The sequence below is a fragment of the Homo sapiens genome, chromosome 1 (assembly GCF_000001405.40).
Source record: "Homo sapiens chromosome 1, GRCh38.p14 Primary Assembly".
Lineage (NCBI taxonomy): Eukaryota > Metazoa > Chordata > Mammalia > Primates > Hominidae > Homo > Homo sapiens.
Window position 1 is genome coordinate 176,117,353 of NC_000001.11, and position 27,322 is coordinate 176,144,674.

Here is a 27,322-nt window from a genome sequence, read left to right on the forward strand (position 1 = left end):
TTCTTTTTATTTGGTTATATCCTCTATTCATTCTATCTAACCCTAAAAAAACCTCCAGAAGTGTAGACTATCTTTTACTTCCTCTATCTTAGCATTTCTATCTTACCATTTCATCATTCCTATCTCCCTCTCATCTTTAAATAAGCCTTACATAAAAAACTATCAACAACTGAAAATCACATGACATACATACCAACCGTATAAACGATTATTTACTTTTTGTAAATTCTTCTTCTCTATTTCTACTATAAACATGCTTAGGCTAGGCACGGTCGCTCACGCCTGTAATCCCAGCACTTTGGGAGGCCAAGGCGGGCGGATCACCTGAGGTCAGGAGTTCGAGACCAGCCTGACCAACATGGTGAAACCCTGTCTCTACTAAAAGTAAAAAAATTAGCTGGGTGTGATGGCAAGCTCCTGTAATCCTAGCTACTTGGGAGGCTGAGGCAGGAGAATCACTTGAACTTGTGAGACGGAGGTTGCAGTGAGCTGAGATCACACCATTGCACTCCAGCCTGGGCAACAGAGCAAGACTCTGTCTCGAAAAACAAACAAACAAACAAACAAAAAACCAACAAAAAAGTTTATATTCTTTCTACCCTATAAAATTTAAGCAATTGAGATTACTAATTAGAATGGTTCTATATGTAAACATACAAAATGATTAATTACTTAGTACTGAAAGAACCTCAAAGGTTAAAGCATGGGAGGTACTCTAAGTAGTACACAGTTTGAATTTTACCCATAGAAGTGAATAACCTGACTCTGGGCAAGTGATTAATCTTATTTGAGCTCTAGCTTCTCCATCTATTAAATGATGAAGACACATCAGAGAAGTATGAGATTTAAATAAGATAATGCATGTGAAGTTCACAGTATGATGCCAAAATATGGTAAACATTCAATAAACTTTAGTTTCTTTTATTAACAAAATTAGTTAACATAAAACTTCACATTTTCAAAAATAAATCATATGAATCTGTCTACACAGCAGTCTTTTTTTTTTAAGGCATAGTTAATGGGTACAAACATAAAATTACACGAAAGAAAGAAGTTCTAAGGTTTGACAGAAGATTACAGTGACTATAGTTAACAACAATGTATTTATATTTCAAAATAGCTAGAAGAGGCCAGGCATGGTGGCTCATGCTTATAATCCTAGCACTTTGGGAGGCCAAGGTGGGAGGGTCACTGGAGCCTAGGAGTTTAAGACCAGCCCGGACAAAATAGTAAGACTCCGTTTTCTACATATAATTAGCTGTGTGTGGTGGTGGACGCCTGGGGTTCCAGCTACTCAGGAGGGTGAGGTAGGAAGATCACTTAATCTCAAATGGTCAAGGCTGCAATGAGCTATGCATCGCTGCATTCCAGCCTGGGCAAGAGAGAGGCCCTGTCTCAAACAAACAAACAAACAAACAAAAAAACAAAAACAAAAACAAAATAGCCAGAAGAAATGATAAATGCTCAAGGTGATGGGATAACCCCCAAATACTCTGACTTGATCATTACACATTCTATGCATGTAAAAAATATCACAAGTACCCTCATAAACATGTACAAAATATTACGTATCAATGAAAAAATAAAGAAATAAAGTTAGATGAGTGCCAAAAAATGCAGCACACAAAAAACAAAAACCTTGTTTCTTAACAATTCCTATAGCAAAACTCAATTATAAAAGAGCCTTTGAAGAACTTAACCATATAAAGAATTCAAATGTTCTTGTCATGAGTTTATTCTGATAAAATGTAACCATTACTTGCCTTTCCTATAGAGTTACACACTGGTATGACAAGATTGCATGCTATTTTCAGTTTACTCCATCCAGAGACTAAGAGGACTGAAAGTGAGGCAATGCAATGCATTAAAAATCTCTGTTCTTCCTACTAATGAAACTCAATCCCTTAGTGTTTGTATAACACTAATAAAATTGTGTAGTTGCATATTTAGAGGCCTATAGAACAGAACATTTCCAGCTATGCATTTTTATGGATTTATGATTCAGAATTCTGTGACTGTAAGCCTAAAAAATGAATGATATTGATATCTCAGTGTATACAGTGATATAATTCTACATTTCAAATATATGTTAAAAAATACTCATCAGTTTGTTGAAGATAAAACTAAGAATTAAAAATAGTATCTTATTAATGATTACACAATATGAAACTTATTTTCTACCAGGTCTTAATTTTATTCACTAAGAAAAAGGTATAATGCAGGCTACAATAGAAAAATTTGAATAATAAAACCCATTAATTCTGCTTAATATATACATTATACATTCATACACACACACACACACACACACATATAGAAAAGAATATTAGAAAGCACTGACAGGGCTGGGTCCCTCTTGACTCTGGTGCTATACTACTACTTAACTCCTGACTCATCCACAGTCACTAGATGGCAGTAACAATATCAATAGTACCATTTACTGACGGTTTACTATGCACTAACCTAAATAATTTAAACTTCACAGCTCTAATGTAGATAATACTATTATCATTCTCATTTCTCAAGTGAGAAAATTCAGGCACTGAGAGATTATATATGTGGCCCAAGATAACAACACTGGGAAATAGCAGAGTTATTATTCAAACCCAAGCAGTCAAGTCCCAGAGTCCACAAGAACGACCACGCTATATAAACTACCTAGGCACCTTATGTTCTCTAACTTAAGAACTGGAAAATCCTGGATTAGCCTCCACTTTGTAGACATATTTTAAAGAGAAAAATGAAAAACAGTAACCTATAAATATAAGACAGAATCATATATTTTTCAAATAAATGTCAATAAAATTATAAAAGTTATACTAGCTTAAGAAATTGTGGCAGGCGGATCACCTGAGGTCAGGAGTTCAAGACCAGCCTGGCCAACATGGTGAAACCCCAACTCTACAAAAATACAAAAATGAGCTGGGCATCATGGCAAGTGCGTGTAATCCCAGATACTAGGGAGGCTGAGGCAGGAGAATCTCTTGAACCCAGGAGGCGGAGGTTGCAGTGAGCCGAGATCACACCACTGCACTCCAGCCTGGGTGCTGGGTGACAGGGCAAGACTCTATCTCCAAAAAATAAAAAAAAAAAGCTTAATAAAGACATCAAAAAACGTCAAGGGAAAAAAATTTCAGGGTAGTAACTAAAACTGATACAGGAGTAATACACTTTAATCAAAAGATAATGAAACAGTTCTTAATGTTCTTGCTGGTAACAGTGAGAAGCTTTGCTAAAAAAAGTAACAACAATGCAGCTGTTAATTTGAGGTATCAAAGAAATTCTGCTATGCAAGTAGATGTCCGTATAACTATTTTCACCTAGATTATTTTCCTTCAAAAGCAAAGACGTATTTCCTAACTAGAAAGAAGATTATTAAGTCAATTTCACATATGAGGTATACCATAATGAAGAGGTAGCCAAGAGAAAACAATGGTTCACTCTTGGAAAGATAATAGGCATATTGATTTTAGACTAGCCTTTTATATTGAAAAAGAATGGTTTAAATTTAAATTATTAGTGGATACATTAGCTAATTAAATTATAAAGAGAAATTTTTAATCGATGAGCAAAAATAAAGCACACTGAGATCATTTTAGGCTAAACATAGACAATAAATATGGAATTATGAATAAGAGAATCAAAGAGAGTCCAAAATGCCATGTACTCACATAAAATTAGACTATTATCATTGATTTTTTTTGCTATAAACGTAAAAGAGAGAAAAATAAACTTCTACATTTAATAAATAAACCAAGTGGGGCTACAAATAAAACTTTTTCCTTTCCAGTACTCTACATATAGTTACTGAACCAGTTTCTCCAAAAGAAAACACACTAAGCAAGAAGTAACCTGAAAATACTAAATTTTTAATAATTTAATATTTTTAATATTTAATTTTAAATTAATAGTAAATCCCATTTATTGAGCAACCAAAATTGTTGTGGCCCCAATTTTGCAGAGACCTCCAGAGATATTAGAAATCATTCTTCATGTTTTTTCTTGTTTTATTCCACATACCCTTTAACATTTGACACAAGTAGTCAAATATATCACCCAAAATCTATGCGACTAATCTGTCAACAACAATAACAGCAGCAGCTAACATTTATTGAGTTCTTACTAAGTACCAGACATTATTTTCATTTCTTTAAATGTCGTTTTTTATTTTTATGTTTTTAGAGGTACGATCTCACTCTGTCACCCAGGCTGGAGTGCAGTGACACAATTCCACAGCTGGAATACTACTTTGACAGTTGCAACTTGGACATATAAATGCAGTTCTCCTCTAGGACAGTATTTCTAAAATAGATTTCCTGATTTTGATGCAAAATCCAACTGAAAATTAAAATGAAATCTTCTCTCATTGCCTGTTTAGAAACAGACAATACTAAACTCTTCTCATGGTATCTGAATTTCAAGGACACAAATTTTGTATAAATAAATGTCAGTGATGACAATGGCTTTTTAGCAATATGTAGATTTTTGGCAATATAGTGTGGCCTTAAAAAAAAAAGTTTGGTCACGCCTGTAATCCCAGCACTTTAGGAGGCCAAGGCAGGCAGATCATGAGGTCAGGAGATGGAGACCATCCTGGCTAACACAGTGAAACCCCGTCTCTACTAAAAATACAAAAAATTAGCCGGGCATGGTGGCGGGCGCCTGTAGTCCCAGCTACTCAGGAGGCTGAGGCAGGAGAATGGTGTGAACCTGGGAGGTGGGGCTTGAAGTAAGCCGAGATCGCGCCACTGCACTCCAGCTTGGGCGACAGAGCAAGACTGCATCTCAAAAAAAAAAAAAAAAAATCTGGGCTCAAAAAGATGATTTAAGACCTAAAATTCAAAACTCTGAAAATCAAATGCTGTTTTGCAACCTATTTAAAGGTAAAAATAAAAAACCTGGTCTGAACACATCTGACATCATGTTTTAACGCTGAAATATTAATGTGCTTGATGGGAAAGTCCCTCTTATTCTTCCATCAGTTTTATACGATACATGGCATATGTACTCTGTTACCTTTCCAAAATCGGTGAAGGCAGGAAAGGAATATGACTATACTCTGACCCAAAAGATTTCCAAAAAAATTTTGGAAACTTATATATCATACAAATTTAGGTTTACTTAAGGAATGCAAGGTTAGTTCAATAACAGAAGTACTAGGCCACAGAGTACTTATCTATGATTTCTACAGGAAAGACATAGGGGTAATTTATTCTTCAAACAACAGACGCTATCACAGTGTTTCAGAACTCCAGAAAAAAACTTCCCCAGCACCTCTTGTCTTCTTTTAATTAGTACATGGTTACAAAAAGTAACAGTTACATAATGCATACAGGGACTATGGAACCTAATACTTATACCGCCTTTTAAAATGTTTATTACATAATAATTCTGAAACTGAAAAAGGAAAGCAAAAGAGCAGCTCATTTGAAAGTTTTTTTTGTAAGAGGAGTTTCCTTAGAAACTTACTGCTAGCAGATATAAAAAGCAAGCATGAGGGAAAATTTCTAAAAGATGGAACAGGTCTGAGTCTATTGCTTTATCACTTTTGGAAGTAAACTACTTCGGTTGGTAGAATGTCAAAAATAGACAAAAATAAGCTCAAAGGAATAAGACCAACAAGACTGATTTGACTCCAACAAAATAAGTTAAAGTTTCAGTTCATTACACAACGTGGTTTATTTGACTAGTTTGTATTCTACTACTACTTTCCAACAAGTTGGAGTAGATTACAATTTATTTGTAATTCACACAGTAGAAATTTTAAATTATCAGATGATATAGTTGATACAATCCATCAGGGTTTAAAAAAACAATTATCTGAAATAACCTCAGAAGTACTCCAGAAATACTTAGAAGAAGCATTCCAAAAACAATTAATTAAAAATTCAAAGGTTCAGGGATGTGGTGAATGGGAAAAATATGATGGGACTTCGGTAGGAGAGATGTCATGAACAGCAGAAATGGTAAATGATAACAGCACATGAAATTTTACATTTGTATACAGTTGTCCTTATACCTAAGCAAGTTTTACCATGTGCAGCTTTGGTTTCCCTAGGTACCCCCATTTCTGACCTCCTAGAATCAAAGTATATCTATAATAATTAAAGGGGAAAAGAGTTTCCTATGTGACTCTAAATGACTCTAACCTGAAAGGACAAAAAGCCATAAACATAAGGCTCTAATCACAGCATATAAATGGAATTAACAGGGAATGGCTGGTATATACCAATAATTTGTTTCCTTTACAGAGACTTGATTTTTAACTTTTCCGGCCCTCTCAAGCCCAGAAACTTTATCTGAGGTATTTCAAAGACATTACAGAAGAATGTGTAACTTTACAGAGTAGAGTAAAAGAATTAAAAATCTTTACCCCCACCCTGCACAAAACATGAAATATGCAGTTATAAAATGTTTGTGTTGAATATTTGAACTTTCTCTTATAAAAAGGAAAATAAGCATGTCAGATTTAAGAATTTATTCAAAAACATGTCAGTAACACAGACTTATCACCAATTACTTAATCTTCCCATATTTTCTAAAGTAGCATCTCTACCACTCCCAAACCCCAGGCCTGCATTTGAATCTCTAAGATCTACCTCAAACCTAATCAATCAGATTTTAAAAATCTGCATTTCAAATACGAGTCTTGGTTGACACTCATGAACACTGCAGTTTGGCTTCTTCACACCTCAGATTTCAGAATTTAAATGAACTTTTATCATCATCATCAAGCAGTGATTTTAGATCTTTTTAATTTTTTTAAATTTTTAGTGTTTCTGGGTATACAGCAGGTGTATATACTTATGAGGTACAAGAGATATTTTGGTACAGGCATGCAATATGTAATATCACAACATGGAGAATGTGGGTATCCATCCCCTCAAGCATTTATCCTTTGTGTTACAAACAACCCAATTATACTTTTTAAGTTATTTTTAAATGTACAATTAAATTATTATTGACTATAGTCACCCTGTTATGCTATCAAATACTAGATCTTATTCATTTTAATTAATTTTTTTTTTTTATCCATTAAACGTTCCCACCTCCCCTGCCCCCCAGCCCCGTACTACCCCTTTCCCAGCTTCTGGTAACCATCTTTCTATTCTCTATCTTCACGAGTTCAATTGATTTTTAGATCCCACAAATAAGTGAAAACATGTGTTGTTTATCTTTCTGTTCCTAGCTTATTTCACTTAACATAATAACCTCCAGTTCTATCCATGTTGTTGCAAATAACAGAATCTTATTCATTTTATGGCTGATAGTACTCCATTGAGTATGTGTACCACATTTTCTCAATTCATTCATCTGTTGATGGACACACAGGTTACTTCCAAATCTTGGCTATTGTGAACAGTGCTGCAACAAACATGGGAATGCAGATAACTCTTTCATGTATACGTTTCCTTTCTTTTGGATATATACCCAGCAGTGGGATTGCTGCGTAATATGCTATTATTTTTAATTTCTTGAGGAACCTCCAAACCATTCTCCATAGTGGTTGTACTAAATTACATTCCCACCAGCACCATACAAGGGTTCCCTTTTCTCCACATCTTCACTAGCATTTGTTACTGCCAAACTTTTGGATAAAAGTCATTTTAACTGAGGTGAGATGATATTTCATTGTAGTTGTGATTTGCATTTCTGATGATCAATGATGTTGAACACTTCCATATACACTGGTTTGCCATGTTTGTCTTGAGAAATGTCTAATCTTTTACCCATTTTTAAATGATTATTCGATTTTTTTTTTCCTATAGAATTTTCTAAGCTCCTCGTATATTCTGGTTATTAATCCCTTGTCAGATGAGTAGTCTGCAAATATTTTCTCCAATTCTGTGGGTTGTCTCTTCACTTTGCTGATTGTTTCCTTTGGTGTGCAGAAGCTTTTTAACTTGATATGGTACCTTTTGTTCATTTTTGCTTTGGTTGCCTGTGATTGTGGGGTATTACTCAAAAATTTTTTGCCCCAAGTTTCCCCAATGTTTTCTTGTAGTAGTTTCACAGTTTGAGGCCTTTAAGTCTTTAATCCACTTTGATGTGATCTTTGCAGCAGGAATCAAGTTTCATTCTTCAGAACATAAATATCCAGTTTTCCAAGCACCATTTATTTAAGAGAATATCTTTTCCCCAATTTATGTTCTTAGCAACTTTGTCAAAAACGAGTTCACTGTAGGTGTGTGGATTTGTTTCGGGGTCCTCTATTCGGTTCCATTGGCATGTGTCTGTTTTTATGCCAGTACCATGCTGTTTTGGTTACTATAGCTATATAGTATAATGTAAAATCAGGTAATAACGATTCCTCTACTTTTGTTCTTTTTGCTCAGGACAGCTTTGGCTCTTCTGGGTCTTTCGTGATTCCATATAAATTTTAGGATTTTTTTTTCTATTTCTGTGAAGAATGTCATTGGTGTTTTGATAGTGATTGCAATGTATCTGTAGATTGCTTGGGTAGTATGGACATTTTAACAATATTGATTCTTCCAATCATTAACATGGCATACCTTTCCAGTTTTTTGTGTCTTCTTCAATTTCTTTCATCAGTGCTTTATAGTTTTCATTATAGATATCTTTCACTTCTTTGGTTAATTCCTAAGTATTTAATTTTATTTGTGGCTTTATAAATAAGAATATATTTTTATTCTTTTTCACATCGTTCACTGCTGGCATATAAACATGCTACTGATTTTTTGTATGTTGACTTTGTATCCTGCAACTTCACTGAATCTGTATCATTTCGTTCTAATAGTTTTTTGGTGGAGTCTATAGGTTTTTCCAAATATAAGATCACATCATCTGTAAACAGGGATAATTTGACTTCTTCCTTTCCAATCTGGATGCTCTTTATTTCTTTCTCTTGTCTGACTGCTCTAGCTAGGACTTTTAGTACTACGTTGAGTAACATTGGTGAAAGTGGGCATCCTTGTTGAGTTCCAGATCTAAGAGGAAAGGTTTCACTTTTTCACCATTTAGTATGACTAACTGTAGGTTTGTCATATATGGCTTTTATTATGTTGAAGTGTGTTCCTTCTATAACCAGTTCATTGAAGGTTTTTATCATGAAGGAACATTGAACTTCATCAACCTCACTTCTTTTTTCTTTTCTTTTTTTTTGAGATGGAGTCTCGCTCTGTCACCAGGCTGGAGTGCGGTGGCGCAATCTCAGCTCACTGCAACCTCTGCCTCCCGGGTTCAAGTGATTCTCCTGTCTCAGCCTCCCGAGTAGCTGGGAATGCAGGTACGCGCCACCATGCCCAGCCTTCTGTATTTTTAGTACAGACGAGGTTTCACCATGTTGGCCAGGATGATCTCAATCTCTTGACCTTGTGATCCGCCAGCCTCGGCCTCCCAAAGTGCTGGGGTTACAGGCATGAGCCACTGCACCTGGCCATCAACATCACTTTTTAAGTATCAACTGAAATGATGATATGATTTTTATCTTTCATTCTGTTGATGATTTTAGTTCTTATCAAGAACCCAAGGATATTTTATAGAAATCCTGAAATGCCTACTAATTAATCATAATTACTACAGTTTTTGGAACAGTTTTATAATTTTAAATTATTGGAATCAAAAAGTCTATTTACACCAAAATTTAAAGAGAATAATCAATTCACTCACATATCTTATTTTTCCTCCTAAGAATATATAACCATGAGAACAGGGTTCTAGGGTCTGTCATATTCACAAATATATCCCAGCGCCTAACAGTGTTTTTTAAATTTTTATCTTTAATTGACATAATAATTGTGAATATTTACGAGGTATAAAATATTTTGATCCTTGCATACATTGTGAAATGATCAGAGTATAGCATATCCACCACCTCAAATATTTCTTCTGAGAACATTTAAAATCCTCTCTTTTGCTATTCTAAAACATACAATTTATTATTATTAATTATAACCACCTTGTTGCACAACAGAACACCAGAATTGATTCTTCCTGTCTAACTATAACTTTGTACTCACTGACCAACTTCTCCCCTCTCCCCATCCACCTCTAATCTCTGTTAACCACCATACTATGCTCTACTTGTATGAGTTCAACTTTTTTAGATTCCGCATGTAAGCAAGATCATACAATATCTGTCTTTCTGTGCCTGTCTTATTTCACTTAACATAATGTCATCTAGGTTCATCTGTGTTGGTGCAAATGACAGAACTTCCTGGGTCTTTTTAAGGTGGAATAGTATTCTACTGTGTGTGTGTGTGTGTGTGTGTGTGTGTATGTGTATATATGTGTGTGTGTGTATATATATATACATACAATATATGTTTTAAATTCATTCATCCATTTAGATAAATACTTAGGTTGTTTGCATGGCTACTGTGAATAATGGGACAAAGAAGATGGGACTTTTTTCATAGTGATTTTATTTCCTTTGAGAATATTCCCAGTAATGGGATTGCAGGATCGTATGGTAGTTCTATTTTTAGTTTTTTGAGGAACCTCCATAATGTCTTCCAATGTAGCTGTACTATTTACAATACCACCAACAGTTTATAAGAGCTCCCTTTTCTCCACATCCTCATCAACACTTGTTTCATCTTTCTGATAATGGCCAATCTAAGAAATGTGAGGTGATGTGCATTAATTTGCATTTCTCTGATGATTAGAGATGTTGAGCCTCTTTTTCTATATCTATGTCTTCTTTTCTATGTCTTCTTTTGAGAAATACCTGTTCAAGTCCTTTACTCATTTTAAAAATAGGGGTGTTTCATTGAGTATTTGTATATTTTGTTCCTTGTATATTTTGCACATTAGCACCTAATCCAATATATGATTTACAAATATTTTCTCTCAATAATTGGGTTCTAACACAGTGTTTTATACACGCTGGCTCAAATACTGGCTGAATGACTGAAAATAAATTCTTCAAATATTCTAAAGAAAATCAGAGTTTCAAGAAAGGTTTTCAGAACTTACTGAATTTCTATTACCTATCAATTTTAATGAGAAATTACAGGTGTATGAAGAGTATCCCCTATATTATTGCCATGGAAGTTTGCTTCCTGTGTTTTGTGTTTGTTTTTGTTTTAGTTCACAATCAAGATTCCTTAAGATTCTTCAATTATTTTACTGACTTTGGCATCAAGTTCAACTCCTTGGCATGGTTTAGGGTCAGAATTAAGGAAAGTAACCTTTAGTACTCACAAGAATAAAACAATCAAATGGTTTTACTACTCCCACATAAAGGTAAGCTTCATTAAAATACAGCAAAACACCATGTATGTTCAAAACTCTCCAATTTAAGTGTACTTGAGACTTCTTAAAATCTGTCTGTAATCACCTAACCTTCAAGGTTTGAGAAAAAGTATTAAATTGTATACAGATAATTTCCTGTATTGTCATAATCTTCCCCTTAAATAAGCATTAGTTCAATTTGATTATAAAAACATTTCATTTCCTGCATTAAAAAAAATTTCCAAATAAAATAAAGTTGTTGAACCAATAATAACTGCCAAAAAGTACTAAGAACTTAAGCATTAACATGAAGCAGCAGACATTGACAATGCATTGGTCATAGGTAATAATCCAGCCAAAGACTCACTATGCAAAAATAGGCAAGATGGCTCACTTTTCATCTACTATATAAAGAGTCATCCCTGTCCTCCATATCCCTCCCAAGCATATATTCTTTCAATGACCAGAGATTAGTATAGTTGCATAGAATGACATGGGTAAACTAGAGGAATTTCTTAATATAGTCCAGAAGCTATTATGCAGTATTGTTTCTTAAATATCATTAATTTATTCAAATTATAAAATATACAAATTCACAAGGTATTAGATCACTATCCTACATATATATTTTTAATGTTAAATACTCTTAGCCTCCATAAAATGATTCCTTGTTTTTTCCTATTGTCCCTACACTTTGATTCGTCTGGAACTTTGTCAAAATTACAGAAATACAAATAAAAGGTATGTCTCAAAAATGTCTGATAGAGTAAATAAAATCAAAAGTGTCATATAAAAGTCTTACCTATATATTTTATTCATAAATCTCCTCCTTCCTCTAGCACAGAAAATAGGCAATTCAGGATTCAAACTAATGCATGTCTGCATGACAATTTTTTAAAAAAAATGAATTAAACTTTCAATCAACAGCAATCTCTTATCAGTAAAAGCATTTTAAAGATGAGAGATTGTAGATCAAAAAATTTTATTTAGTACTTGTATTTTGTACTACATTTATTTACTACCTTAGAAAAACAAGACTTATTAGGCAAATTTAACTCCAGCAACTATCTGGATCTTATAAAGCATACCCAGCTGAAGGAGATAGAGAAGCTTCAACTAATACATCATTTTTCAAACTAAGTTATCCGATGTTCTGAACACACAGAAGAGACTAATAACTCACCATTCCAAAATTCCTTAAAGACAAAGAATAAAGCAATTATGAGATAACTATTTCTAAGACAGAAATCACATCAATAAGATACATTCAGAAATTTAAAAGCAAAGTTACTGCAATGGCTTTGACGAGAATTTAAAATCTAACGAATAGTATGCTAACGTTCCTCATCACACCAGATTTACAGCTAACCACAAAAAGATAAGACTAGGCTCATACTAAGCTAATGGCTTCATAGGCTTAATAATAAGTTATTTAGCTCTGCTTCCTATTCAATTACACATAATAATAAACTAAATAATATTTAAAGAGCCTAAAATCCACATTTGTTAATCCATATAACGTCCACCCAGTTTACCGCTCTCAAAAATTCAGAGATAATCAAACCTGGTCTAAGTATGTTTCAATATAAAAAAAAATCAGCATTGTCCTATTTGCCAGGAAGAGAACCTAACAAAAATGTTTTGCTTTATTATTTAAATAAAGTCTGAGCTAAAAAGTTAAAAAATGTCTAAAATATTAATAATACTCTAGAAGGGCAGATAGGATGTATATCCTCATAATCACCCTCCCATACAAAAGAACCAATTCCTCTTGATAATAAGTAAAAGAGACTATGCTTGCCTACCAATCTCTAATTTTCTCATTATTTCACACACACAACTATGCAACAATAAAATGTAAACTATGGTTTATACTGAGAATTGTGAAGACTTTCTTCCTTAGAATTTAAAACAGATTAAAAAGGTTCTAAGTATAGCAGTCATTGGTTTGATTAATTCTACGGAAAGTCTGAAATGGATGAAAGCTTAAAAGGTTAAAAAATTCAACTGATATATTTTTTTAAAAAACATACCTCACCTCAATGAAGCATGGCTGATAGCTTTTATAGCAAGATTAAAATAATTAACCTATTAAGTATACTACATGTGATGCTTTAACAAATTCACAAACTGTGAAAATTAAATGACATTCTAGGTTAGGTAAATATTTACTCAAAACCTTGTATTTAAGTCCTTATTATATATAAATACATAAAAATGTGGAAGTATAAGAAAAAAACAATACTCACAGGATTACAGTACAGCATGGAAAACATGTATTTTTTCCAAAGTAATACATATTATAGAAACAGAATCAAAATAAGTAGAAATCTTTACAAAACAAAACAAGTGGTTAATTCTATCTCCTGCTTCCTTTTCCCTGCCCCTAATTTTTTAGGGAAATGGCATCTGAAAAAAGAATAGAAAGACTTCACCCTAGGACCCTATAGGTTTGGGGTCTTTGGGGATAGTTACTTAACAGCTGAATCCAGGAGAAGTTTCTAGGCAAAAGGAACAGTGTAAGCAAAGATACCCTAACATTCTGCTTTGAGAGTTACATACAATTTTAAAGCACAAAAACAATAGGCTGGGGCTAGGCAATTACGGAGGGTTATGCAAAGAGATGGATCTAAACCAATGTACATGATAGGCAGCTACTGAAAAATTTTAAGCAGGAAAGAAACATCATATTTCTGGCAATAACACATAAAAGGATAGGTTAAAAGATTATTGCTAGATGAGGTGATGCTAAGGATCTAAACAAGGCAGAAGCAGTAAAATAGGATATGACAATTACAGCTAATCAAAGTAGGTAGAATATAAAGTTCTGTGGGGGGCTGGGAAAGGGAGAGAATACCATTATCTGGCTTCTGCTTTTCTTTTTCATTTAAATACATAATCTAAACATAAACCCAGAATCTATGTAAAGGATTCAGTGACCTGACATATAATAAAGATATTCATTATAGAAAACTAACAAATCTAGAAAAGAGCTTTTGTAAAGTAAGCCTGCTTAAAAGAGAGATCAAAACTTTTTAGTGAGGAATAAGAACAAAAACTGTCTGGCATTTAAATAATAAAGCTAATAATTCTGAAAGAAAAAAGATTAGTAAAATTGCAACTACATACTATTGCTTAAAGAAAAATCAAATATGAATAGTATTATAAAAGATAATATTTGTCTCAGAATGTCTGATTTCAAATCGTAATCTTAAGGATCATTTTCACTCAAGAGTATTTAAGGGCTACATCATTTTTCCCAAGTGCCTCTCTCAATCCTTGAGTGATATTCACATCACTTGTTCAGAGAAAATATCAAAACACTCTTGAAGAAAATACTGTTTGCCTATTTTCCCTTCTTGAACTGCTAACCCATTTAACTCTGCTAGAATCTAATTTAATGACAGCTTTGCAAGCAATTTTAGCAATTCTCCAACAATATTTTCATAAACTTCATGAAATCTAGTATGTTTTACGAGATCTGCTACTTTATTTTACAATACAACCACTCTTACCTCTTCTATCAATAAAATCCTAATGCAAACCAACATCTCCTCTCTTCTGAACTGCTACAATGCTTCCTAACTTTTCTCCCCAGCTTCCAATGTCAAGGGGTTGAGAGGGACACATCTTCTCTGTCCTCCACACAGGGATCCAAGTAAACATTTTAAAATCTAAATCAGATCCTGCTCAACACTATCCCATAACTTTCCATCATAATTAGTCTTTACTTGATTAATGTGTCAACTTAAATGTCACCTCCTTGGAGAAGCCTGGCTATGAAAACTAAAACAGAATCCTCTTGCAAAGCCCTACCATGCCTAACTATTCTTCCTAAGGTAGTGCAGTCATGCATCACTCAATGACAGGGATACAGTCTGAGAAATGTGTCATTAGGCAATTTTGTCATTATGTGATCATAGAGTATACTTACACAAACCAAGATGGGGGTATGTATGTGTGTGTGTATATACACACACACATATATGAATATATACACACATATACACATATGTACGTATATATACTATATATACACACATATACACATATGTACGTATATATACTATATATACACACATATACACATATGTACGTATATATACTATATATACACACATATACACATATGTACGTATATATACTATATATACACACATATACACATATGTACGTATATATACTATATATACACACATATACACATATGTACGTATATATACTATATATACACACATATACACATATGTACGTATATATTATATATACACACATATACACATATGTACGTATATATACTATATATACACACATATACACATATGTACGTATATATACTATATATACACACATATACACATATGTACGTATATATACTATATATACACACATATACACATATGTACGTATATATACTATATATACACACATATACACATATGTACGTATATATACTATATATACACACATATACACATATGTACGTATATATACTATATATACACACATATACACATATGTACGTATATATACTATATATACACACATATACACATATGTACGTATATATACTATATATACCCATACACATACGTATATACGTACATATATATACGTATGTACACACATACGTATATACGTACGTATATGTACGTATGTACACACATACGTATATACGTACGTATATGTACGTAGGTACACACATACGTATATACGTACGTATATATATACGTATGTACACATATATATGTGAAAAACCAATGTCCCAGCACCATTACTGAATATCAGTCATTTCCCCTACTTGATCTGCAATGCCAATATCAAGTGTCATATATTAGGTCTCTTTATGTGCTCTATTATTTTCTTATGAGATCACCATCATATATGCAGTCCATCACTGACTGAAACGTCATTATGCAGTGCATGACTGTATTGTATGTTATATACTACTACTATGCTATACATTGGCCCTTTTAGTGTCTCCCCCAACCTCCATACACACATCCCAAAATGTAAGCTCCAAAGGGACGAGGACTTTGTCAGCTAGATCCAACACCTAGAATAGTCCCTAGCACATCAGAGGCATTCAATAAATAGAGCAATTAAGTAAATGCACCGTACTGTCACAATTTCATAAAATCCAACAATCAGTGAGAGACTGAGTAACAAAGATCTGGAAACAATATATACAAAAAAAATTTGCTACTGTTAAACAGAGAGGAAAAAGACAATGGGAATGAATCATTATTAGTGAACTTTTTGTGATGTGACAACTTTTTCTTCCCTGTATGTACTTACATAATAAGTATTCCATTGACAAAGATCCTGTGCATATCAGAACTGAATTCAAGGCTTAAAGATAACAATATACACAGACCAAGTCATTCTCAAATGTTTCAAAGAAAGTAAAATATAGAAGAAAATCGGCTGAATTACACAGCTAAAATAACACCAGAATTAACGAACTCACAAGGATTCTCCATACTATAATTAATGGGAAAAATGTCAAACCTCTGAATTCTCCTTAACTAGAACATCCCTGCACCCTTTCTGTACATGATGTACTGAACTAGATCCATAATAGCTTTCCTAAAGTGATAAGGTTTCCGAAGGTTATTATAATCTACCATAGTAGAACTGGACTTCCTGATAGTACACATTACCTAAAACTATTTGTCTGATAAGATTCCATTAAATCGTTATCCTAAACAGAGAGTGGATTTAACAAATCAAAAACAAATGATTTCATGTAAAACTGTTCTTAGTTTGAACATTTCAAGCATAAAAATTCAAAACTCAAGATTCAGATAGCATATATTTCATGAAGTAGGTTTTACAGCTAAAAGGGAAACACACACATTCACCATGCTTTACAAATACCTACTACTAAATGAAACCAGGCTTTATTCTAAAATCTTGGGAAATGGTCATGACAAATATAACCCTATACTAATATCGCATATAGAAGAATTAATAATAAGTAGTTATAAGAAAATACCAAGGAAATCTAAACTAACAGATCTGTCTACTGCCCTCATTTTAAATGTGGGAAAAGTGATCTGTCCAATAAAATTTAACAAGTTAGGGGGAGAAGTCCAAGGTTTTATTTTATCACATTTTTCCCTAATATTACCACTTCATGTTCTCAAATTTAGATTTTTGAATGTCATCTGACTTTAATTCACAAGATATTTAAAGCTATCATTACTTTAAGAAATTCATCAAACTTTTAATCCAACTGTGAATTCATAACATTATAGTATTCTACTCGCTAACTCTTCCTGGCATGAAATCCAACGCATTAAGGAAACAGATGGGCCATATGAATATCATTTCTAGATCATGACCAAAGTAATTTCTCAGGGGTTTCATACACTGCATGGAAAAGGCTCCTAAAGGACTAGACCATATGCATACTTTGTAATATGAATTCTAATCAATTGCAAGTGTGAAGCTTGTACCTGTGTGATGGAGAAGGAGCTTCAAATTGAGGCACTGTGCTATCCTCACTGACAGGAGAGTATAAGCCACTCATTTCCTGAAAATAAAATTATTTGAATTATAGTAGATATTTCAAATAGAAGATATATAAATCAAAAAGAGGCATGATATATTCCTTTCTATTCCCAGGTTTTCATCAGTCCCTGTTTGTCTCAATATCAAATTTCTGAAGGCTTCCTCTCCACAGAATACAAAAGCAAGGACATGTGAAAAGTTAAGAGACAAGCCTTTTCCATGGTACACAATCTTAAAGAACTATAAATTGTTTACTAAATATTGTTCATCATTAATGAAGCCACCACATGCAAAAAAAGATAAATGTAAATGTAAATATTTTAAATGACATGTACATTATACTATGTGAATAGTGAACTAGCATATCATTAATTCAGGTGATAATCTATTGATAAATGTTAAGATAAATATGACAGTAAGATAACTGGATCATCAGGTTCAACTCTTGAACATAAAAACACAAAAAACACCCAGAATATGTCAGTCTCTGCTTTATATATATTCTTCACAAATATTAAGATTGAAATATCAGCTTTGTTTAATAATGACTTAGACTCTAATTTTTGATCAGTAATCCAGAGGAATAGGCCTAATCAACCATTATATAAATTTTCTCTCTCACACTGACAACCTAGCTTCCTTTTTTATGTACTAACTTTGATTAATGAAAAAATAGCAAATTTTAAAATGCCACTAAAGATGCATAATCAGGTAAAATTATTTCTAGCTAATGCAACCTCAGCTCAATCATACAGTCAGGTAAGTGACATAAATGTGTAACAACTTAAGAATGCTACAGAGGATACTGAACATCCACTAAATATTAAATCCATTAATCTTAAACATGTTCTATGTATCAGCAAAAAAAAATTACAATACATATAAATAACTAAAAACACAAACTAAATTAATAAATACAGCCAAAGGCAAAAACTTCAAATCATAATACCCTATAAGACTCCCAAGGATCCTCCCATAAATTTCCTTAGGTAAACTATATTAAACTGTAAATTCCCAGAATATTGGTAATGTATTCTTATATTTCTCTTTTAATTAACCTTAACTCCTAGAAATGCACAGAGTAGGTATGTAAAAGTTATTAATAAAAAAAGCATTGTAGTGGTAATAATTGACAGTTTTAAGTTATGATGGCACTCCAAGAAAACTGAGCGATTTTTTTTGTCAGTCTAATCGAGAAAAATTATGGCAATAAAACATTGTAAAACAAATTTAGACTATATTTTATCAAGTGTTCAGAATGTTTTTTTCTACAAAAATTCATCCTCAATTGAAATGAAAGTAACAGCTGTTACTTTCTTCCTAAGACCAATCCCATAAACTTAACACAGCAACTTAATGGAAAGGTGACAATTTCATGAAATTGAAAAATTGCTAAGGATGTGAGAAATTCTTGATTCCTTACTTCCACTCTCTTAATATCCTCTTCCAAAACACTTAGCTCCTTCTGGATCTGTTCCAGTTGCTGCAGATTAAATAGAGAGAGAAAGACAAAAAAAAAAAAGCCTAAGCCAAACCAAAATGGCATCACCATGATCATAAAATAAATTTACATTAGGAAAATAATTTCTATCAAACTTGGCACTAATGGCAAATTAACAGGAGGGATAACCATCAACAAAATATAGCTAGAAGTTCCCATTTTTTAATGCAAAGGTAGAGAATTATGTGAAAACACAATGTTGTACTTCTTTAATACAACAGTTTGATTTTACAATAAAAGTATGAGATGAATGACAGTGGCTTAAAAAAATACAAGATAGCCAAAGAACTTTCACATTACCTCATTTAGTTGTTAAACAGAAAAATTCAGCATGTCAGTTGTTAATCACACTTTTTTTTTTTAAATAGAGATAGGTTTCACTATGTTGCCCAGGCTGGTCTCCAACTTTTGAGCTCAAGCAATCTGCCCGCCTCAGCCTCCCAAAGTGCTGGTATTACAGGCGTGAGCCACTGCACCAGAACTTTAATCATACTTTATAAACAAAGATTAGTCTGACAGAGGTTAAATCCCCTCACCCAAAAGCAACCACAAGTCAGTATCTTAACACTTCCTTCTTAAGGGTTTTAAAAACATATTTGAGTTAGTATTTTATCTTTTATATCTCGCCTATTAAACCACTAATAATTTTCCATGCCACTAAAATGCAAACATTGTAACTGTTGAATAACACTTAATATATTGAACCATTCCCTTTCTCATTAGAGATTTAAGTTGCCTGCAAACTATCATATATAATTCTGGAACATATTGTTCTTTCAGATTTCATTTCATTTTCAGATTTTATTAAAAGATTACTTCAGATTTTATTGAGAGTATTAAAAATAAAATTATTCAATCAAAAGAAAACTGCTTTCCAGAAACACTATACCAATTTAAATTCCTAACGCCAGGATGCGGTTGTCTTACTCTAACCTGGAAATATTGAACACATTTATAAATGTAAAATATTAACAACTAATACTTATATATTACTGATTGCCAGATGTGAAAATGAAGCACAGAAAGGTTAAATGATTTGTCCAAAATCATTCTGTAAGTGGCAGAACTGGAATTCAAATTAAGGTAGGCTTATTGTTCCAGAATTCATGCTTTTAACTACTATTCTTTACTACCTATTGAAAACAGTACCTTATTATTAACTCATTTCTTTAATAACTGATAAGGGCAAACAGGGTTTTTTATAGACTTATTAGTATTAGTATCTTCTGTGGCAATACAGGCAAAGTTGGTAATATAATTAATAACTTACTCATTCAAGTATTTACCAATTCTAGGCACCTTCCTAAGTACTGAGAAGAACAGGATCGAAAAACAACTGTAGCCCTTACCCTGAGTTCAGTCTAGGGGAGATGGCAAATAAGAAAGCCAATAGTTGAAATATCATAGCAAGCATTATGATGATGGTATACAACGTATTAAGGGAATATAGACCACATCTAATGTAGAGCTGGTGGGGTAAGAAGAGGACTAGATAACTAAAATTTGATTGAAAATTAAATCAGAGGCTGAGCCTTAAAAGACTAACAGAATTCTGCCAAGTGGAAAACAGTGAGGCATGACAGAATAAGCAGAGTAAATAATAACATATGCGAAGGTACAAAAGCCATGAGAAAGGTAAATAATAAATCTGAAAGTAAGGCAATAAATAAAACTGCTTAACATCAATAAGTATAGTCAGAAGAGATAAAAGCAAAACTGAAATGGTAGAAAACACCAATGTTAAAGAGATGGGCAAAGGAAGAAGCAGCATTAACAATCAAGAAGGGCAAAGTCGCAGCCAGAAAACCAGGGGAAATGACAGTACCATTGGAGAAATCAAGGGTTAAAAGAGTGATTAGCATTTTCAAAAGCTTTCAACTCATCTATCTACTTTAATAAACTTCCTGCCGCCTTAAAATATGTCACACAATGCCACCTTAACTGAAACCCTGCTCACTCTTAAAGACACTGTCTGTCCTGAAACTCTTTCAAATAACAGCTGCTCAATTGATACTGCTCAATTGATAAAGTCTCTAAAGCCCCAGAGTTTACAGGACTTATTAATAGATAGGAACTCACTATTTCTACTCCATTCCATGGCCATTTCCAACAATTAGTCTTCCACCCTAAAATTAGTTTTCCACCATAACATAAAAACCACTCTGTCTAGCTCATACCAAGCAGCCAAATCCCTGTCCACCCACTTGAGCCATCAATAAACATCCCAGTTATTCTCCACCATCACTGAGGCCTTTGGGTTCATGGACATTTTCAACTCCAGCATCCAGTGATGCTGACCTCTAATTCAGCAAAACACTCCCATGGTAATCTCTTAAACATTTTCATTTAACTACCTTAAAATGTTCCACTCTTGAAATTTTTATTTAAACAAATGCTTTACTATATATAAGAGGTCTTTAGAATAATTGCTTTAAAAAATACATTTAAAAAGAAGAATGAGTATCTGACAAAAGTCTAATATCCAGAATCTACAAGGAACGTAAATAAATGAAAAACAAAAAACAAATAACCCCATTAAAAAATGGGCACAGACATAAACAGACAATTCCCAAAAGGCAACATACAAGTGGCCATCACACATAAAAAAATGCTCAACATCACTAATCATCAGATAAATGTTAACAAAAACCAAAATGAGATACCATCTCACACCAGTCAGAATGGCAATTATTGAAAAGTGAAAAAACAAAAACAAAAAAAACAAAAAAAAAAAACAAAAAAAGAGATGCTGGTGAGGCTGCAGAGAAAAAGGAATGTTTGTACACTGCTGGTGGGAATGTAAATTAGTTCAGCCACTGTGGAGACCGGAGTTGGGAGATTTCTCAAAGAGCTTATTAAAAGAGAACTACTATTTGACCGAGTAATTCCATTATTGAGTATATATCCAAAAGAAAATAAATCATTCTCCCCCAAAGACAAGTGTATTTGTATGTTCATCATAGCTCTATTCATCACAGCAAAGATTCATCAATGCCCATCATTGCCCATCAACGGTGGACTCAATAAAGATGTGATACAGAGACACCGTGGAATACTGTACAGCCATAAAAAGAACAAATCATGTCCTTTGCAGCAACATGGATGGAGCTGGAAGCCATCATCCTAAGTGAATTAATGAAGTAAGAGAAAACCAAATACCACATGTTCTCACTTATAAGTGGGAGTTAAACACTGGGTACTCATAAAGATGGTTACAACAGACACAGGGAACTACTGGGGTGGGGGAAGGAAGAAAGGGTTGAAGAACTAACTGCTGAGTACTATGCTCACACTTCTGAGTGATGGGGTCAATCATACCCCAAATTTTAGCATCACACCATATATCTACGTAAGAAACCCGTACATGTACTCCCTGAATCGAAAAGTTGAAATTATATTTAAAAAGAAAGTAAATATCTGTAATATCAATAGCCAAAGACAGCCAATATTACTTGTATGATACATAATAATTGAAATCAAATTAATTTTTATTCTGCTTTTGAACTTGAAATTCCAGAAAAATTTCCAATGTCACCTGAAATCTCAAAATATTAAACTCTAATGTCTTCTCTGAAAATAATGTTCCATCTCCTAATACCTCAAAGCTTTTACTGGATCATATACCTATTGTTACATATGAAGGCTTCTATACATAAGGTGAACCTCATAAAACTGCCAATAATAAAACAATTTTTACTTCAAAAACAGCAATTTCATATGGTTCAACTTAAAAATCAAATAATGAAGGCATGGTGTTGTCCTGACAGATATACAGACAGAATGCAAAACAAAATGATATAACCTATCCGTAAGAAAGTCTGACAAGGTATCAGGCAAGAAATATTAAAAAGAAAAAAGTTTGGAAGACTGAAAACTGTTGAGAGAGCACATATTAAATTTGAGGTGTTTCCATTTTAAGATGAGAATTCTGAAGGGATTTGGAGCTGTAAATTATAAGGGCATCAGTGCAAGACATTTTAGTACTAGTAAATAGAAAAATGATGAAGGACAACCACTTCAAGGATGTGGAAAGAAGAAATGGGCTAAATTCACTCTGTAAACATAACCCCGGGAAGGAGAACTTAGAAGAAAAGTCTGAATATAAGTCCAAGAATGTTTTAAAGATATATGAAGAAAAGTTCAAGAAGCTGAACTGCTATTATCTAAAGGAAAATCAATCACAAATTAGGAATGATAATAAACTCCTAGATCACATTTATCTTAACACCATTACAGAGTTTGGTGCCACTTAGAAAAATAAATAAATATATAAGATGGAGAACTAAGACAATGCTATTTGAGGGCATGGGACTAAAGAATCAATAGCAAGCACTCTCTTAACACTGTGCCAAAGCCCAAAGAAAACTTTTAGAAACATTTAACGTAAAGGTAAAGAGTAAGTAAGTCTCAGAATCCCTTACGAAGATAATAGATAGACTCTCCCATTACTGATAATGGATTTGGTGCAGGTAGGTATCATTGGTACTCAACTGACTTTCATTAGTGCCTTGATAAAGATATGCTTAAGCATTAAACTCATTATTTGAATTTTTAATATAATTTTGAATACATTACATATAATTGTTCCAAACTGAACAAAAGAATACACCATTACACTTTCAATGGGGAAAAGCTGATTTTAAAAATCGAGCAAGGCTAGGTGCGGTGGCTCACGCCTGTAAGCCCAACACTTTGGGAGGCTGAGGCGGGCAGATCACCTAAGGTCAGAGTTCAAGACCAGTTTGGCCAATAAGGTGACACCCTGTCTCTACTAAAAATATAAAAATTAGCCAGGCGTGGTGGTAGGCACCTGTAATACCAGCTACTTGGGAGGGTGAGGCAGGAGAATCTCTTGAACCCGGGAGGTGCAGGTTGCAGTGAGGCGAGATAGTGCCACTGCACTCCAGCCTGGGCAACAGAGCAAGACTCCATCTCAAAAAATACATACATACATACATACAGCAGCAAAACTTAATATATGCTAATTCTAAGAGAGTTACTATCAAAAACAAAGCATTTAGCCATATGAAGTGCACACTACAGCAAGCCAAAACCCTTGTCATCCCATACTATCACTCCACAAACACTCACATACTTCATATCTAGTTCCTGAAATGGCAGACCTGATTAAAAGACTTCATTTAACCCTTTCATAGCACTTTTTCTTTTCTTTTTTTTTTTTTAAGACAGGGACTCATTTTGTCACCCAGGCTGGAGTGCAGTGGCACAATCTCAGTTCACTGCAGCCTCTGCCTCCTAGGCTCAAGCAATTCTCTCACCTCAGCCTCCCAAGTAGCGGGGACTACAGGCACACGCCCCTATGCTCCACGAATTTTTTTTTAATTGTTTGTAGAGACAAAGTCTCACTATATTGTCCAGGCTGGTCTTGAACTCCTGGCCCTCAAATGATCCTCCTACCTTCGCCAACGTGTTAGAATTACAGGCATGAGCCACTGTGCCCAGCCAACATTTTGTTTTAAGCTGAGAAGAAAACAGAAAAAGCAAGAACAAAACCAAATAAATAAATGATAGAGTAGTGAGGGGACAAAATAAGATGGCTTATTTAAGAGCAAATGTAAACAGATGTCAATACCAGTAGGCTGATAAGTTACAAATACATGATGTAACAGAGAGAGCAACCACTAAAAAATGATACAAAAAATTTACTTTAAAACATTATAGATAAATCAAAATGGAATTCCGAAAAGAAACTGTTCAAAAACCCATGGAAAGAAAAACAGAAAAGCAACAATAATAAAAAAAGAAATATAAAACAAAAAATAAAATGACAGGCTTATGCTATAATATTTATATTAAATAAATGGCCTAAATACACAATTAAAAAACTGAGTCTGGCAGAGTAGATTTACAAAGCATAGTCCAACCATATGCTATCTATAAGAAATTCACCTAAAAGATAATGAGACAGTAATAGGTATAACAAGGAAAGGAAGACCTGGTATGAATGCAGGAAATTCTCACCACACATTTAACAACTTTACAATGAATCATGCAACTGCAGAAAATGCATTCTTTTCAAGCACAAGTATTTCAAAATTTAACCAATTACCAGTTGGTACAGCAAATATTATATTCAAAGAAAGAAAACACAACTTTCTGACTACAATGCAATTATAACAGAAATCCAGAACAAAAAAAAAACAAAATCTCAATGTTCAAGTAATAAGACATTTGTTTCTAAATAAGCCACAGGCCTAAGAAAAAAATATAATGAAAATTAGAAATTATTTTGAACAATAATAAACAAAATATGATGCCAAAAGAATTAGGTACAGATTAAAAAATAAGAAACTATGGCCCTAAATGCCTACATTAGAAAAAATAATCTGCATAATAATATGCATATCCACCCAAGCCAACAGATTAGGAAGGAACAAAAAAGTAAAACCAAAGAAAGCAGGATGGAAATAATAAAGAACATAAATAAAACAGAAAACAAACAAAACAGAGAGGAAAAACAAAGTCAAAAGTTAGTTATTAGAAAAAAACCCATATAATTGATATATTCCTGGCAAGAATTGATCCAACAGAACAAGCGAGAGAGAGAGAGAGCGAGAGAAAGAGAGAGAGAGAGAGAGGAACAAGCAAAATAAACACTGCCAGGAATGAACCCTGGTGACATTAAAAACTTAAGACTCTATTAAGACCAATCTTACGCCAATAAATTTGAAAATTGAGATGACATAAACAATGACTAGAAAAAATTTAACAAATGAAAAGTGACATCTAAAACAAAAACCTTAATAAGAATGTAACTGTTCAAGTAACAGATTCAATAACTTAAAACTTCCCGCAAACAATCACAGGTCTAGACTGCTTCTCCAGTAAGATCTTTAAACATTCAAAAAAGATGTTCTTAGACTACACAAAATTATTCCAGAAAATTTAAAAAGAGGATACATTTCCCAACACATTTGATAAAGCTAGCATAATCTTTATAGCAAAACTGGACAAGATATGTGTAAGAAAAAAAACAATCTCACTCATGAACATAGATGCAAAAATCCTAAACAAAATATAAGCAAACCAAACCATATAGAAGAGAATATACATAACGGCCAAGTTTGGTTTATATAAGGGGTGCAAGTAGGGGGACCAATTGTCCTGGTGGGGTTTCCTAGAATGCAGAACCTTCAGTGATATAACTAAGATATAACTAAGACACCCCTGGGCCAATCAGGATGGTTGGTCACTCTAGATGCAAAGTTGATTGACTCCCCAATGCTAAACCAAAGTAATTATTCACATTAACAGAATGAAAAGGAAAAATCATATGGTTGCATCAGATGCACAAAAATTCTGGAGACTACTCAACCCCACTCAGAAATTTTTTAAAAATTCTCTTAGCAAACTGGGTAAAAATTTACTACCTTGAGTGATAAAAAGTACCTACAAAAAACCTACAGAAAACATCATACCTAATGGTGACACGTTGAATGCTTTCACTTTGAGATCAGCATCAAGACTAGGATGCCCCGCTATCACCACTTCTATTCATCATTGTACCGGATGTCCTAGCCAGCAGAGTAAGACAAGAAAAATAAATAAAAGATATAAGGATCATAAAGAATGAAACTAAACTGTTATTATTTGCAGATTATGATGTGTACATAGAAAACATACAAGAATCTACAAATAAATTAGGATTAATGAGAGTTTAACCAGGTTGCTGGATATTTTTAAAAATCTCCATGTAAAACCCACCTGTATTTCTACACACTAGCAATAATAAGAAACTAAAGTTAGAGACACAGACATCATTTACAATAGTATCAAAAATGACTAAATCTAAAATAAAGATGTGTAAGACTACCCTGAAAAATATAAAAATTTTAAGGCTATTTTAAAGATCTAAATATAGAGGGAAGTACCACATTCACAGATTAGAAGACTGAATACTGTAAATACACAGTCTCCCAGATTTATCTAGTCAAATTAATCCCAATAAAAAGCACAGTAAGTTTACCATGGAAACGTACTAGCTGATTCTAAAATTTATACTGAAATGCAGACAGCCAGGAATATCCCAGACTTTAAAGAAGAACAGCAACTTAATTCAAAGCTCTAGTATTTAATACAAGGTGGTAT

General features: G+C 33.4%; 1 protein-coding gene across 31 annotated transcripts in view; it reads right to left on the reverse strand.

Moving 5' to 3' along the window:
* COP1 (COP1 E3 ubiquitin ligase) overlaps positions 1-27,322 on the reverse strand; it is a 262,456-nt gene that overhangs the window by 172,522 nt on the left and 62,612 nt on the right. For 9 of the 31 annotated variants that reach the window (XM_047427798.1, NM_001286644.2, XM_047427786.1 and 6 more), the window contains 2 exons: positions 19,136-19,195; positions 17,658-17,734 (listed from right to left, as the gene is read on the reverse strand). The exons of 4 other annotated variants lie outside the window; for them this stretch is intronic. In XM_047427798.1, coding sequence (XP_047283754.1) covers positions 17,658-17,734; positions 19,136-19,195 — 137 coding nt within the window. Of the gene's footprint in view, positions 1-16,494; positions 16,549-17,657; positions 17,735-19,135; positions 19,196-26,652; positions 26,675-27,322 lie in introns of those variants that run through there. 18 more of the 31 variants (XM_047427762.1, XM_047427780.1, XM_011509881.3 and 15 more) reach the window with 4 other exon arrangements.